A 13,310-nucleotide genomic window follows, 5' to 3' on the forward strand; every position below is an offset into this window, starting at 1 on the left:
CTCGGACTCCTGGCCTCAAGTGATCTGCCTGCCTCAGCCTCCCAAAGTGCTGGGACTGCAGGCATGAGCTACCATGCCCAGCCTATGAGGGCTAATACTTTCATAGCTCTTCCTATGCATCAGAAGACTCATTTTAATTCTCACCACAATTCTATGAGATTACCATTATCACACTCATCTTCCAGATGAGGAAACTGAAGCAAAGAGAAGTTAAGTAACTCACCAAGGTCACACAGCTAACAAGTGGCAGAGCTAGAATTTGAACCTAGGCAGCTTGGTAGAGTCTGTGCTGTCACTGCCTCTCTGTGCTGATATATCTCTAAATTAGTTCAGTTTGGACAGAGTGAACCTGAGAGATCCGTGGGGCAGCCGCGTGGAGGTGTCTAGCAGGCATGCAGATATATGGTTCTGAAGCTCACATGGGAGGTGGGGACTGGAAATAAAGACTGTGGAGTCTGCATACAGGTGGCCATTGAAGCCACAGGAAAGGTCAGGACCCTTAAGGAGAGGGTGGGAGATAATCAGAGGAAAGAAACAAGGGAGCCCTGGAAGGCAAACACAAGCATTCCAGTTGTGGGAAGGACATAGTCCTTTCTGCAAATGAATACACTGCACCTGGCTTATAGATCTTCAGTCAACAGATAGTCCATCCCGCAGAATTTGTTTGGCTCTGGGTACCCTGACAAAATGGAGTTCCTGGAGCCACAGCCCTAAGGACCTGCCTCAATGGTGGTGATCCTCCCCACTTTCTTCTACCATGAGAGTCCACTGGGGGCCTGTTGGCTTCTCTGGGCATCTGTTTTTTGCCCCTCCCTACAACTGAAGAGCCTCCAGCTCCTCTGTCTACCACCCGTCCACTTCGTCAGCTCAGGTCCCCTCCCTGTCTCTACGACCACAGTAACATTTCACCTGGAGCTTCTTCAGGTCCCTCCTGAACTTATTTTCAGCCCTTTACCCGTACATTTCTTGTATCTCCTGCTAGATTCTAAATTTCTGGAGGGCAAGAAAAACCTATTATGTTGACTTTCCCTCCCTCAACTCCTGCTCCCCTGTGTGTGTTAAATGGCCCGACCCCGTTGTCCCATGGGACTTCGCATGCAGTCCACCAGAATAGGAGCTGTACCTACCACAGGAGCCAGTGAGTCCATCAGTCAGTCAGTCATCTCAGCAAATAATTCCAGTTGTCTACTGGCTTTCTGGAAACATGACTGGGGACTGTTGATGCCTTTGACAGTTGATTCAAGCAGCAGGACCTTTCACAACAGCCTCCTGTTTTTGTGGATGGGGAATAGGCAAGGGTTGGGAAGCGGGAATTCGCCGCTCTTTCTTGTCATTCTCTTCATAGCCCCCAAGCTACTGTGGTCTATTGTTTTGATAGTTGCTTTCCCGAAATGTTAACAGGATGGAGAGTAAAGGAGGTAAAGGAGGACTCTGATGCCTCAGCCATGCGCCTGTGTGCCGATTCCCATTAAGCCTGCACCAATTTGATTTCCAAGACTCCAGTCAATCCTCAGAGCTCCAGGAGGGGAGGGGCAGCTTTTCCTGGTAGCTGCTGATCACCAGCAGAGGGAGCCCTAGGACTGCAGGGCCTCTTTCCTTACCGTTGGTGAAGCCCTTCACTGTGGCTTCAAAACTGTGGAAGACCCGGGATTTGTGGATCACTTGCCTTTAGAATAGAATCAAGAAATAAAGCTGCAGAAGAAAGAATCTCCATGTGGTAAGGATTGGAAGGGAGTGTTGAGAGGGGCTTTTGGGGTGCTGGTAATATTGTTCTTTGACCCGATGTTGGTTATAGGAGTGTGTGCTATAATGTGGTATATGTACATTTTTCTGTGCGTATAACTAAACTTCAGTTAAAAGTTTTTAAAACTTAAACATCTCTATGTATACCACAAAATAGGTATCAGGTTAGGGTGAGCGGTTTTTTTCCCTACAATTCTTAACCTTATCTGAGTCACAAGACAGCCCTCCCTCCCTTCCTCCGAGAAAGCCACAGACCACTGGTTAAGGACTTCTCCTGCAGCAGCCGAATAGAGAAAGTGAGCAAAGGACATGAGCAGACGGTTCACAGCAAAAGAAATACAAATAGCACTTAAACTTATGAAAAAATGCTCAATCTCAATCTTCAAAGAGAAGTGCTTATAAAAAGTATGCGGAGATACCATTTTTAACCTGTCAGATTGGCAGAAATCCCAAAGCTTGACAGCATGCCCTGTGGATGGGGCTGGAGGTGGGGGAGTCGGGAGAATAAATAGCAGGACTTTTAATACATTACCAGTGGGATTGTGAAATTGACAGCCCTGTTGATTTGGGCAATATCTACCAAAATTACAAGTCTAAGAGTCTACCCTGTAGATGACATTTGTACCTATATGTAATAATTTATGTAAAAGATGATCCATTGCAACATTGGCTGCAATAGCAAAAGATCAGAAACAACTGAAGTGTATGTACAGGACTGGTGCATCCACAAAGCAAAATACTATATAACTGGGAAAAAGTTTGAGGAAGCTGTGTGTGCGCTGAGGAAAGATCTCTAAGATATAGGTGAAAAAAAGCACGACGTACAGCTAAGAATATATGTTTGTATTGCTTCTATCTTCATAAAGAAAAACTGATAAGCTAGACAAGTAACTAAGAAGTGTTTCAGGAAGTGGTTGGGGGCCAGCAGGAGGGGCCGGGCTTCTGAGTGTATACCTTGTGTTCTGATTTTTGAATCATGTCAGTGTATAACCTGTGCAAAACAAAACAAAGTTTAGAGTTCCTGCTCTAAAGCTGCTGAGCTAAGCCTTTAGGAATTCATAAATTATTATATCTGCCCAATTAAAGAATAGGTGGGTTTGGTTTTTCAGTTTGAACTGAGCTGTGTCTTGGTGAGAGTCTTCAGCTTACTCCACATTTGAACACAGTTCAGGAAAGTGTATTGCAGTTTCCTGGCTCAGCCTAACTCTCAAGAATTCTTTCTTTACCCTCCATATGCTCAAAACCAATCTTGCCCCTCAAGTGTTGACACTCAGCTAGCTATCATTTTTCAAAGTATTTCATTTTCAGCTTATGTATTCATGAGCATCTAACTCTGCCTGAGGGGGAGAAGAGAAGTTTTCACCAGAAAAGTATATCTGTGTTTTCAGAAACCAATAGATATGAAATCTTGCTCTCCATCCCTTATCTTTGCCTGTCTCTATAGCCATCCTTTCTCCTTTCCCTCCTCCTAGCTAAAACCAATCCCAGCTCTCCTCCCTTCTCAGGAAACTCACTTTCTTCTGTATATGCAAACACACATCATGTCTTCTGTCATAGTAAAACCAAAAACAAAAAAAGCAAACCCCAAACCCACAAAGCCCCCTTCTACCCAGGTTCCCCACAGAGCTCCTGTCCTTTTCTCCCTGTTGGAGCCTTAGCCAGTGGCTCTACTTCTTCCCCTCTCCACCCACCCCCCTTCTCTCTCTCTCTGGGTCGGTCTCTCTCTGTCTCTCTCTCTCTCTCAGTGGCTGTACTTCTTCCCCTCTCCACCCACCCCCCTTCTCTCTCTGTGTGTGTGTGTGTGTGTGTGTGTGTGTGTCTCTGTGTCTCTGTCTCACCACCCTTTCTTCAATCTACTGCAACCAGACTTCTATCTCACCAAAACGTTCCTTGCCAAGGTCATGGATAACCTCCTTGTTGCTGAATACAGTGGCCCTAGTCTCATTCTCATGTTGCTTGAGTTTTGAGCCCTGCCTGACGCTGAACACAGCCGCCTCCTCCACTCGCTCTCCTTTCAGTCCCTGTGGCCACTGCTCACAGGGGCACCCTCTCAGCCTCACCTTTTCTATCTCCTCTGCAGGCTCCTCTTTTCTTGCCGGTCTGCTGACCCTCAGGGGCCATGCCTTGGCTGTCTTCTCATCTCACATTCACTTCCAGGATGATGCCGGGTTGGAGAATATGGAAAACAAATCTGACTTGCTCGAGTGAAAAAGGAATCCACTAGAAGAATGTCAGAAAGCTCACTCAACAAAAGGAAAAGCTAAACAGCTAGGCCTTATCAGCCTGGGAGCCAGACCGAGCCCTTCCCAGGTGCCAGGAATCTCTGAGCATTGCCTCAGGCGATTCAGTTCCACACATCTTTGTTCCTGATACATCTCTCCGTACAAGATTCAAATTCCCAGGAAAGAAACTGATTGGCTTTCATGGCAGGGTCATATTTGACCCACTCCTACTCACAGGGGCAAAAACTGTAACTTCCTTTGTATTTTTTCTTTTTCTTTTCTTTTTTTTTTTTTGAGATGGCGTCTCGCTCTGTCGCCCAGGCTGGAGTGCAGTGGCACGATCTCGGCTCACTGTAACTTCCACCTCCCAGGTTCAAGCTATCCTCCTGCCTCAGCCTCCCGAGTAACCGGGACCGCAGGCATGCGCCACCATTCCTGGCTAATTTTTGCATTTTTAGCAGAGACGGGTGTTTTACTATGTTGGCCAGGCTGGTCTCGAACCCTGACCTCAAGTGATCTGCCCGCCTGGACCTCCCAAAGTGCTAGGATTACAGGCACGAGCCACCACACCCAGCCCTGTATTTTCATCTAATCTCATTTTCATCTCAAACTTCCATTCTCCCAACTTGAGGGGATATTTCCTTCTCTTCTGGTTTACAGCGCTCTGTTTTGCACAGATATTCAGTGTTCAGGATCCTCCTCTCTCCTGTGTGCTCCCATCCTCCCGGCGTGGCATCTGGGTATAAGGGGGCAGTGGGTAAGCTTTATGGCTCAGATGCCATTCCCTGCCTGTTGCTGGTCTTCACTCCCACGTGGTCGCTCGGAATTTGTCCCCGGGCATTACGGATTATGGTGGAACCTACCAAAATGGGGTGAACCTGATTTAGTTCCTGAGCAGTACACGGACCTGCTTAGAAAATTGCCTGTCTGTAGCCATGAGGTCCTCATGTGCCACAACCCTCGCAGCTTGTCACCTGGCCTCTCTTTGTCCCTCAGTCCACTTAGCACATCACTGGGACATGTGGACACATCTGGATTACCACCTACATGGCACCCACAGGTCAAGGGGACAACGGGCTGCTGTTACCACAGCTTCGGTGCCAGCTTAGTGCTGTCACGTGGTCAGTGGGGGGCATCTCTCCCTGGGCTGTGCTTGGGAAAGTGGGATCCTACTGTCCCCCAAACCTGTCCAGATGCTTCTTAGTCCTACATAGGAGTTTTCCTTCGAGGAGGGTAGACACTTGCACCTGAACTCTTGTCCTGCTTTTTTTTTTTCCTTGGCAGCACCAGAAGGCTTTTGCCCTGCTTGCTGTACAGGAACTTGTCTGAACCTTATACTGTGTCATCTCCACACTATGGCCTATAGAAAATCTCTATCCTCTCATCCCCAGGTTGTCCTCTTGCTCTGTAAAGGGAATATTTTGAAAGTTAGGAAAACTGTTTCTGCCTCAACGAAGTCACATTTTAACACTAATGTCCACAGACTCAAGAAATCTAATTTAAAACAGAGCCAGGCAATGGCTCCCATTGATTCAGTGGCTGGAGGGAGCTGCAGGCTAACTAGGAATTAGGAATTAGCCACAACAGAAGTGCATTTGGTTTCATCTCAAGAAATATCCTCCTTTACACCTGTCTTGGCAGATGTGCCCACTGCTTGGGTGGCAGGACACTTTGATTGTCTCACCAAGACTGTGTGGAAAGGGGTGGGGTACTTCTCCAAAGGGAAAAGTGGGCTGCTGTCACCCATAAAAGGGGTAGAGGGAAAGGGCAGGCAGAAACAGTAAATGTCTTCCATAGCTTCAGGTCACATCTGCCTGCTGCTGATACCACATTCATATCTGCAGCCCATGTGTCTCCTCGATGCCACACCTCTGTGTCCACAGTCTTCCTATTCAGTCGCCTATGTGGATGTCCCTCTGACACCTGGTGAAACATGATGTGTTTCTAATTGAGCAGGTTATCTTTCCCCCTAAGCCTGGTCTCCTGGCCTTTCCCCAGTCCCTTCCAGTTTAATTGAATCAAATCGAATGTGATTCATCTCCTCCCATCCGTCTGGCTCCTGGGTTATTTAATACCCCCCCAAACTTTGGAAATATTTTAATGTGTTAATATATTATTTTTTAATAAAAAATAATTTTAACAAAAGAAAAATATACCTTTATAGAAAATTTAGAAAATATAAAGACTCAGGCACCTTATCATTTTTATCTCCTGGTTAGCCCTGGGAGGCAGGTACTATTATTTATCCCCATTTTACAGATGAGGAAACTGAGGCTCAGAGAGGAAAATAGCTTGCTGCTTTCACACAGGTCAGAAGGATCTATGCCGGATTTGAGCCCAGGTCTTTCTGATTGCAAGCTGAAGGCGGTCTTGTCTTTGGGATACTCAGTTGAGGGGCTTGGCCTTTGCCTCAGAAGCATTCGACTTGGCCCCTGTCCTTGAGGATGTCCCCTGGCAGCATTTGGTAAAGGTGTTGCGGAGCGCCTAGGAGCCACACTGCCTCTGAGAAGCCCTGCCTCAGATGCCCACCCCTCTGTGTGGCCTTGGGCACACTGCCCAAGCCCCTGTGCCCAGTTTACTCCTCTGAAAAATGGGGATGATGATAGTAATCGTAGGACTTCCCTTAGAGGGCTAGGAGAGGATGAAATGACTAATGTGGTAGAACACTGCCCGGCTCATAGCATCTGATATGGCTTAGATATTTGTCCCCTCCAAATCTCAGGTCAAACTGTGACCCCCAGTGTTGGAGGTGGGGCCTGATGGGAGGTGTTTGGGTCATGGGGGTGGATCCCTCAGGAATGGCATGGTGCCCTCCCATGGTAATGAGTTCACCCCAGGCCCATTTGTTAGAGCCTGGTACCTCCTGCCTCCTCCCTCTTGCTTCCCTCTCTGGCCGTGTTATCTGTGCAGGCCGGCTCCGCTTCACCTCCTGCCATGAGTGGAAGCAGCCTGAGACACTCACTAGAAGCCAGGCAGATGCTGGTGCCATGCAGAACTGTGACCCAAGCAAACTTCTTTTCTGTATACATTACCCAGTCTCAGCTATTCCTTTATAGCATCGCAAAACAGACTAATATAGCATCCAACAACATTAGCCACTGCTACTATTATCATTAGTATTTTAAGTGTGTGCATTTTAATTGCTGGTACACTGTGTGAACTGGCTTGGATGTTTGTCCCCTCCAAATCTCATGTCGAACTGTAATCTCCAGTGTTGGAGGTGGGGCCTGGTGGGAGGTGTTTGGATCATGGGGGCATATTCCTCATGCTTGGCTTAGCGCCATCCTGTGGTGATGAGTGAGCTAATGGGAGATCTGATTGTTTAAAGGTGTGCGGCACCTCCCCTCTCTCTTGTTCCTGCTCTTGCTATGTGACACACAGGCTCCCCTTTGCCTTCCACCATGACTGTAAATTCCCTATGGCCTCACCAGAAGCAGATGCCAGCACCCCACTTCCTATACAGCTTGCAGAACCAAGAACAAATTAAACTTGTTTTCTTTATAAAGACAGACTCAGGCATTTATTTGTATCAGTGCACAAACAGCCTCATACACTGGGCATACGTGTTATATCCTGCTTTCCTTCAATTTACTATTAGCGTTTTTATGTCACAAACTATTCCTCAAAACATTATTTTAATGACTGTATAATAGTCCATCATTTAAATATATTCATAACTTATTCTGTAGTTAACCATCCACCCGTTTCTGGACAATTAGGGGTGTGTGTGGGTGTTTGTTGTAATAAAAAACTCTAAACCAAAAATCCTTGTCTGATTATTTTCTTAGAATTTTACACCTGGAACTCCTGGGTGGGAAGGTATAAACCGTTTAAAGTCTCCGGCAACACACTAATAAATTGCTTCAAAGGAAAGTTCTCAACCGTTACTCTCAGCAGTGTGTGTATTAGGGCCATCCTCACCACACCCTTTCAGGTAGCGAGGTGAGCTTTTTCAAAGTCCACCTTTGTTGCTATTTCTTTACAAGGCAGGTTTTACTACATGTCCTTGGGTTGGTGGGGGTTGGTCCCATGCTCAAGGTGCTTCTACCTATGCTGCCTGTTACAATGTTCTTAAATTAGCTAACAGTCCCATAAACCCTGAGTGGACATATTCACCCTGTTTCCTGCCTGGTCTGTTCTCCTGCGGGTGGAAATATAATTTTCAGTGCTGGAAATTTTTTTTTTTTTTTTTGAGACGGAGTCTTGCTGTGTCACCCAAACTGGAGTGCAGTGGCACCATCTCGGCTCACTGCAATCCCCGCCTCCAGGGTTCAAGCGAGTCTCCTGCCTCAGCGCCCCGAGTAGCTGGAATTACAAGCTCACACCACCACGTCCAGCTAATCTTTTTTGTATTTTTTGTAGAGACAGGGTTTCACCATATTGGCCAGGCTGGTATCAAACTCCTGACCTCAAGTGATCCACCCACCGTGGCCTCTGAAAGTGTTGGGATTACAGGTGTGAGCCACCGTGCCTAGCCAATTCACTGGTTTCTCTGTTTCTCTGTCGCCCCTGCTTTAAGATGTTTAGCATGTGGCCTCGCTCCCTGGTGACAGCACAGTCCCAAAGCCCAGTAATATATTTTAAAGAAGTCTATTAAAGGTACGAGCTTAGCTGGACTGACCCATTATCTGAAATCTGTGTGTGGCCTTCCCAACTTACATTGCCAATACTTGTGCCTGTTTCAACTTGAGATTCCTGTTCGGTGTACTCTCCCTTTAAGTTACCCTACTGCTGGTATCCTAACCTCCCAGAAAGAGAGCTAGAGTTTTATTTTGTTAAAGTAAAATCAGTATTCCCCAGTGCTCTGTATTTTACAAAATGCATTCACACATGACTGCCTTGATCCTCAGAATGATTCTGGGAGTTACTGTGTTTATCTCCATTTTGCAGATGAGCCCCAGAGAGGCGAAGCCACTTGAGCTCGTGAGTGACAGTCAGATGTCAAGCCCTGCTCTTTCTAAAGCGTGCTGCCTTCAGAAAAGAAGAGCCAGAAGGATGGAAATTACTTCAGAAAGATGAATACCAGCTTTGAAGGAATAAAAGCTGACGAGGAATTGAAGGAGTTGAGGCACGAGCTTGAACAGGGTTGCATGTTTGGCCCTTGATTGTAAATGCCCATTGCTGCACCTGTTCCTGTTACTTGGGGAGTTGCAGCAGAAGGAACAGCGGCCTGGGACTCCAGAGAACTGGGTTCCCTCTCATCCCTCCAGGGCCACCACTTCTTGTGGGCCCTTGGGCAAGTCACTGTACTTTCTGAGTCTCAGTTTCCCCATTTGCAGAATGGAAATAACTACCCCGGTCTACCAACTTAGAAGAATTGCTTTGAGGATCTGATAAGGTGGTGTGGATGATGCTGCCTTGGGGGCTTTACAGTCTGGAGCTCAAGGGACCCCTTAAGTTGGGCTTACTTAGTAACTCCAGGGGTGGGCAGAACAGGACTCCAATGAGGGTTTTTTTCTTTTTCCCTTTTTTTTCTTTTCCTATCTCTTAACTTTTATCTTTATTATTTTACAATGCCCTTGTAAGATGAAACAAGTGATGCTGAAATATCTTTTTCTTTTTTAACCTTTATTTTAGAATTGGGGTACATGTGCAGGTTTGTTACATAGGTACAGTGTGGGCTGCTGAGGTTTGGGAGTACGAATGAATTAGTCACCCCAGTGGTGAGCATAGTGCCCGATAAGTGGTTTTTTCAACCCTTACTCCCATCCCTCTCCATTCTTGTGTTCCCCAGTGTCTGCTGTTCCCATTTTTATGACCATGTGTACTCAATGTTTAGCTCCCACTTAGAAGTAAGAACATGCCCAGCACTTTGGGAGGCCGAGGTGGGTGGATCATGAGGTCAAGAGATCGAGACCATCTTGGCTAACAAAGTGAAACCCTGTCTCTACTAAAAACATAAAAAATTGGCCGGGTGTGGTGGTGGGCACCTGTAGTCCTAGCTACTCGGGAGGCTGAGACAGGAGAATCGCCTGAACCGGGGAGGTGGAGGTTGCAGTGAGCTGAGATTGTACCACTGCACTCCAGCCTGGGTGACAGAGTGAGACTCCATCTCAAAAAAATAAAAATAAAAAAATAAAAAGAATGTGGTGTATGATTTTGTTTTCTGTTTCTATGTTAATCCACTTAGGATAATGGCCTCCAGCTACATCCACGTTGTTACAAAAGACACGATTTCATTCTCTTATATGGCTGCCTAATATTCCACGGTGTATATGTACCATATTTTCTTTATCACATCCACTGTTGATCCACACCTGGGTTGATTCCATGTCTGTGCTATTGTGAATAGCACTGCAGTGAACATGTGGGTGCGTGTGTCTTTGTGGTAGAACGATTTCTTTTCCTTTGAGTATAATATATCCATTAATGGGATGGGGCTGACATACTTAAAGTAGAAACGAAAATTGTCATGTGCTCCCCCACGCCCCTCCATTCTACTCTGCAGAGAGACAGCTGCCTGCTGTTTGTGGTTTAGTACACCTCCTTCCAGGCTTTAAATAAACTAAACCCATGCATATTTCTCTGTGTATACTTTTTCAGTACATGTACACGTGCACTTGTTTGTACAGTTTGTTCTTTAAATTTTATAAAAATGTCCCCTATACTGCATCTTGATTTATCCTCCTCATGATTTTAAGACCTTGCTACATCAGAGCTACTTTTCTATTCTAGAAAGAAAGACATGGCCAGGCGCGGTGGCTCACACCTGTAATCCCAGCACTTTGGGAGGCCGAGGCGGGTGGATCACCTGAGGTCAGGAGTTCGAGACCAGCCTGGCCAACATGGTGAAATCCCGTCTCTACTAAAAATACAAAAATTAGCCGGGCATGGTGGCACGTGCCTGTAATCCCAGCTACTCAGGAGGCTGAGGCAGGAGAATCACTTGAATCCGGGAGGCGGAGGTTGCAGTGAGCCAAGATCTCACCATTGCATTCCAGCCTGGGCAACAAGAGTGAAATTCCGTCTTAGAAAAAAAAAAAAAAAAGACAGACACAGAAACTCTTTTCAATGTCTCTTTTCAATGTCTGGGCATTTTACAGGTATGTATATTTAATGTATTATTTAATTTGGGTTATTACCAATTTTTATTATTTTATTTATTTATTTATTTATTTAGAGACAGAGTCTCACTGTCTCCCAGGCTGGAGTGCAGTGGTGCGATCTCGACTCACTGCAACTTCCGCCTCCTGGGTTCAAGTGATTCTCCTGCCTCAGCCTCCCGAGTAGCTGGGATTACAGGCATGCGCCACCATACCTGGCTAATTTTTGTATTTTTAGTAGAGATGGGTTTTCAACATGTTGGCCAGGCTGGTCTCAAACCCCTGACTTCAGGTGATCCACCTGTTTCAGCCTCCCAAAGTGCTGGGATTACAGGTGTGAGCCACCACACCTGGCCTGGTTATTACCAATGTTTAAAATATTACCAATGGTGCTGCATTAAAATGCTTGTCAAACAAGTTTGTCCTCTTGTAAATGTATTTTGAAGTGAAGTTGCTGGTAACACAGATTGTAATATTTGATGAACAGGCAGAATTCCTGGATTCCACTCCCACCAGTGGTGTTTGGGGCACCCATTGGCCTACGGTAGTTCTCAGCCAGAGATGCTTCTTCCTCTGAGGTTCTGCCCCTGAGGGGACATTTGGCAATGCCTGGAGATATTTTTGGCTGTCACAACTTGGGGGATGGTGACGGAGATGCTACTGATATCTAGTGGACAGAAGGCAGGGATGCTGCTTGACACCTTACAATAAACAGGAGAGTCCCCCACAACAAAGAGTTATGTCAATAGTTCCAAGGATGAGAAACCCTGGCCTCCACCAAGATTGCCAGTGGGGGACAGTGTCATTCTTTCCAATCTTGCCAATCTGGTAGTTTGCAAAATGATAATTTATTCTATACCTTTTCAGGATAATAGAGATATCTTTATTTCTTCCTTTATATATTACTTGAATTTGATATAATGAACATGTATGATTTCTATAATTCTTTTGAAAGGCCATTAAGGATTTTTTATTTATTTATTTATTTTTGAGACGGAGTATCCCTCTGTTGCTCATGCTGGGGTGCAATGGCGCAATCTCGGTTCACTGCAACATCTACCTCCCGGGTTCAAGCAACTCTCCTGCCTCAGCCTTCTGAGTAACTGGGACTACAGGCACCCACCACCACGACCGGCTAATTTTTGTATTTTTAGTAGAGATGGGGTTTCACCATGTTGGCCAGGCTGGTCTCGAACTCCTGACCTCGTGATCCACCCACCTCAGCCTCCCAAAGTGCTGGGATTACAGGAGTGAGTCACTGCACTCGGCGCCATCAAGGGGTTTTTTTAAAGGTCTCTACCTCTTGGACCATTAACTGTTGACTGATGTTGCAGTGTGTTCCTAAGACTTAATTGTGTACGTGCCTGTGTGTTTTTCCTTGATGAGGTATAGAAGGAAGTCCTCAGTGCGGGCCTTGAGAATCCATCCGTGCTTCAGGTTCCAGTCTCCCATCCTCTGGCCATCAGAATTCCTCTATTGCTCTTCCAAACCATTTTCACCTGGTTGACACCCAGGCCCAGGGGCCATCTCCAAGAATCACCTTGGCCCAGAGAGACTCGTTACCACTGAGCAGACCTCCAAAACAAAATGTACCTTGCGGCTGACCCTGGGAAACCCAGCACATACACCATGGACTCATCTGCCCAGGGGCACATTTCATGCCCACGTTCATTTCCCAGCTTTGAAACCTGAGATCTATTTGCCCAGTGAAATTCCAGGGCTGTCAGAGCTGAGCCAAGCCCCCTGGTGCTGCTGCGGAGCTGGAGCTGGAGCTGCTGGCATAGGCTCTGGTGGGGCTCACATTCCCTCCTCATCTCCACTATGTCCCGTCAGAGTGGAAATGGAGTGGAGCCCAGTCTCACCCACTCCCACCCCCCACCCCCCCACCCGGCATGGCAAGGACTCCTGGAGCAGTACCGCACTCCTTCCACTTGGTGCAGAGTCAGCCAGAGTCAGCCTGGACGAAGTGTCCACGGGGAACTTGTTGGTATCACTTGGATATTCCCAAGAAAATTTCCCACGTGGTAGAAGTAGCGTAGACTTGCCTGCAGCCCTTGTGAATCGTGTGGAGTGGGCTCCTCCAATAGCCGACGTTCAGAGTGGGCAGACAGCTCCTGGCCCTGGTGCCGGGCACAGGACTTCTGCCAGCAGTTCTGTGTGTTTGATCTGCAGCCCAGTGTGGTTTTCCAGTAAAGCAAAGGTGTATGTGGAGGTTGCGTGGTCTAACGTCTCCACTCTCTAGAATCCACACCAGTCATGTCAGGGGCATGGAGTGTCCAAGCTGTGAGGCCATGAATGCCGG

General features: G+C 46.8%; 1 long non-coding RNA gene across 3 annotated transcripts in view; it reads left to right on the top strand.

The window, feature by feature from the left end:
- The window catches only part of OSER1-DT (OSER1 divergent transcript), a 15,068-nt gene extending 5,006 nt beyond the window's left edge, over positions 1-10,062 (top strand). For all 3 annotated transcript variants that reach the window (NR_038339.2, NR_038338.2, NR_038337.2), the window contains exon 3: positions 8,856-10,062. This is a non-coding gene — a long non-coding RNA (OSER1 divergent transcript). The remainder of the gene's footprint in view (positions 1-8,855) is intronic.
- The last annotated feature ends 3,248 nt before the right edge of the window (positions 10,063-13,310 follow it).

Source organism: Homo sapiens, chromosome 20 (assembly GCF_000001405.40).
Source record: "Homo sapiens chromosome 20, GRCh38.p14 Primary Assembly".
Classification (NCBI taxonomy): Eukaryota; Metazoa; Chordata; class Mammalia; order Primates; family Hominidae; genus Homo; species Homo sapiens.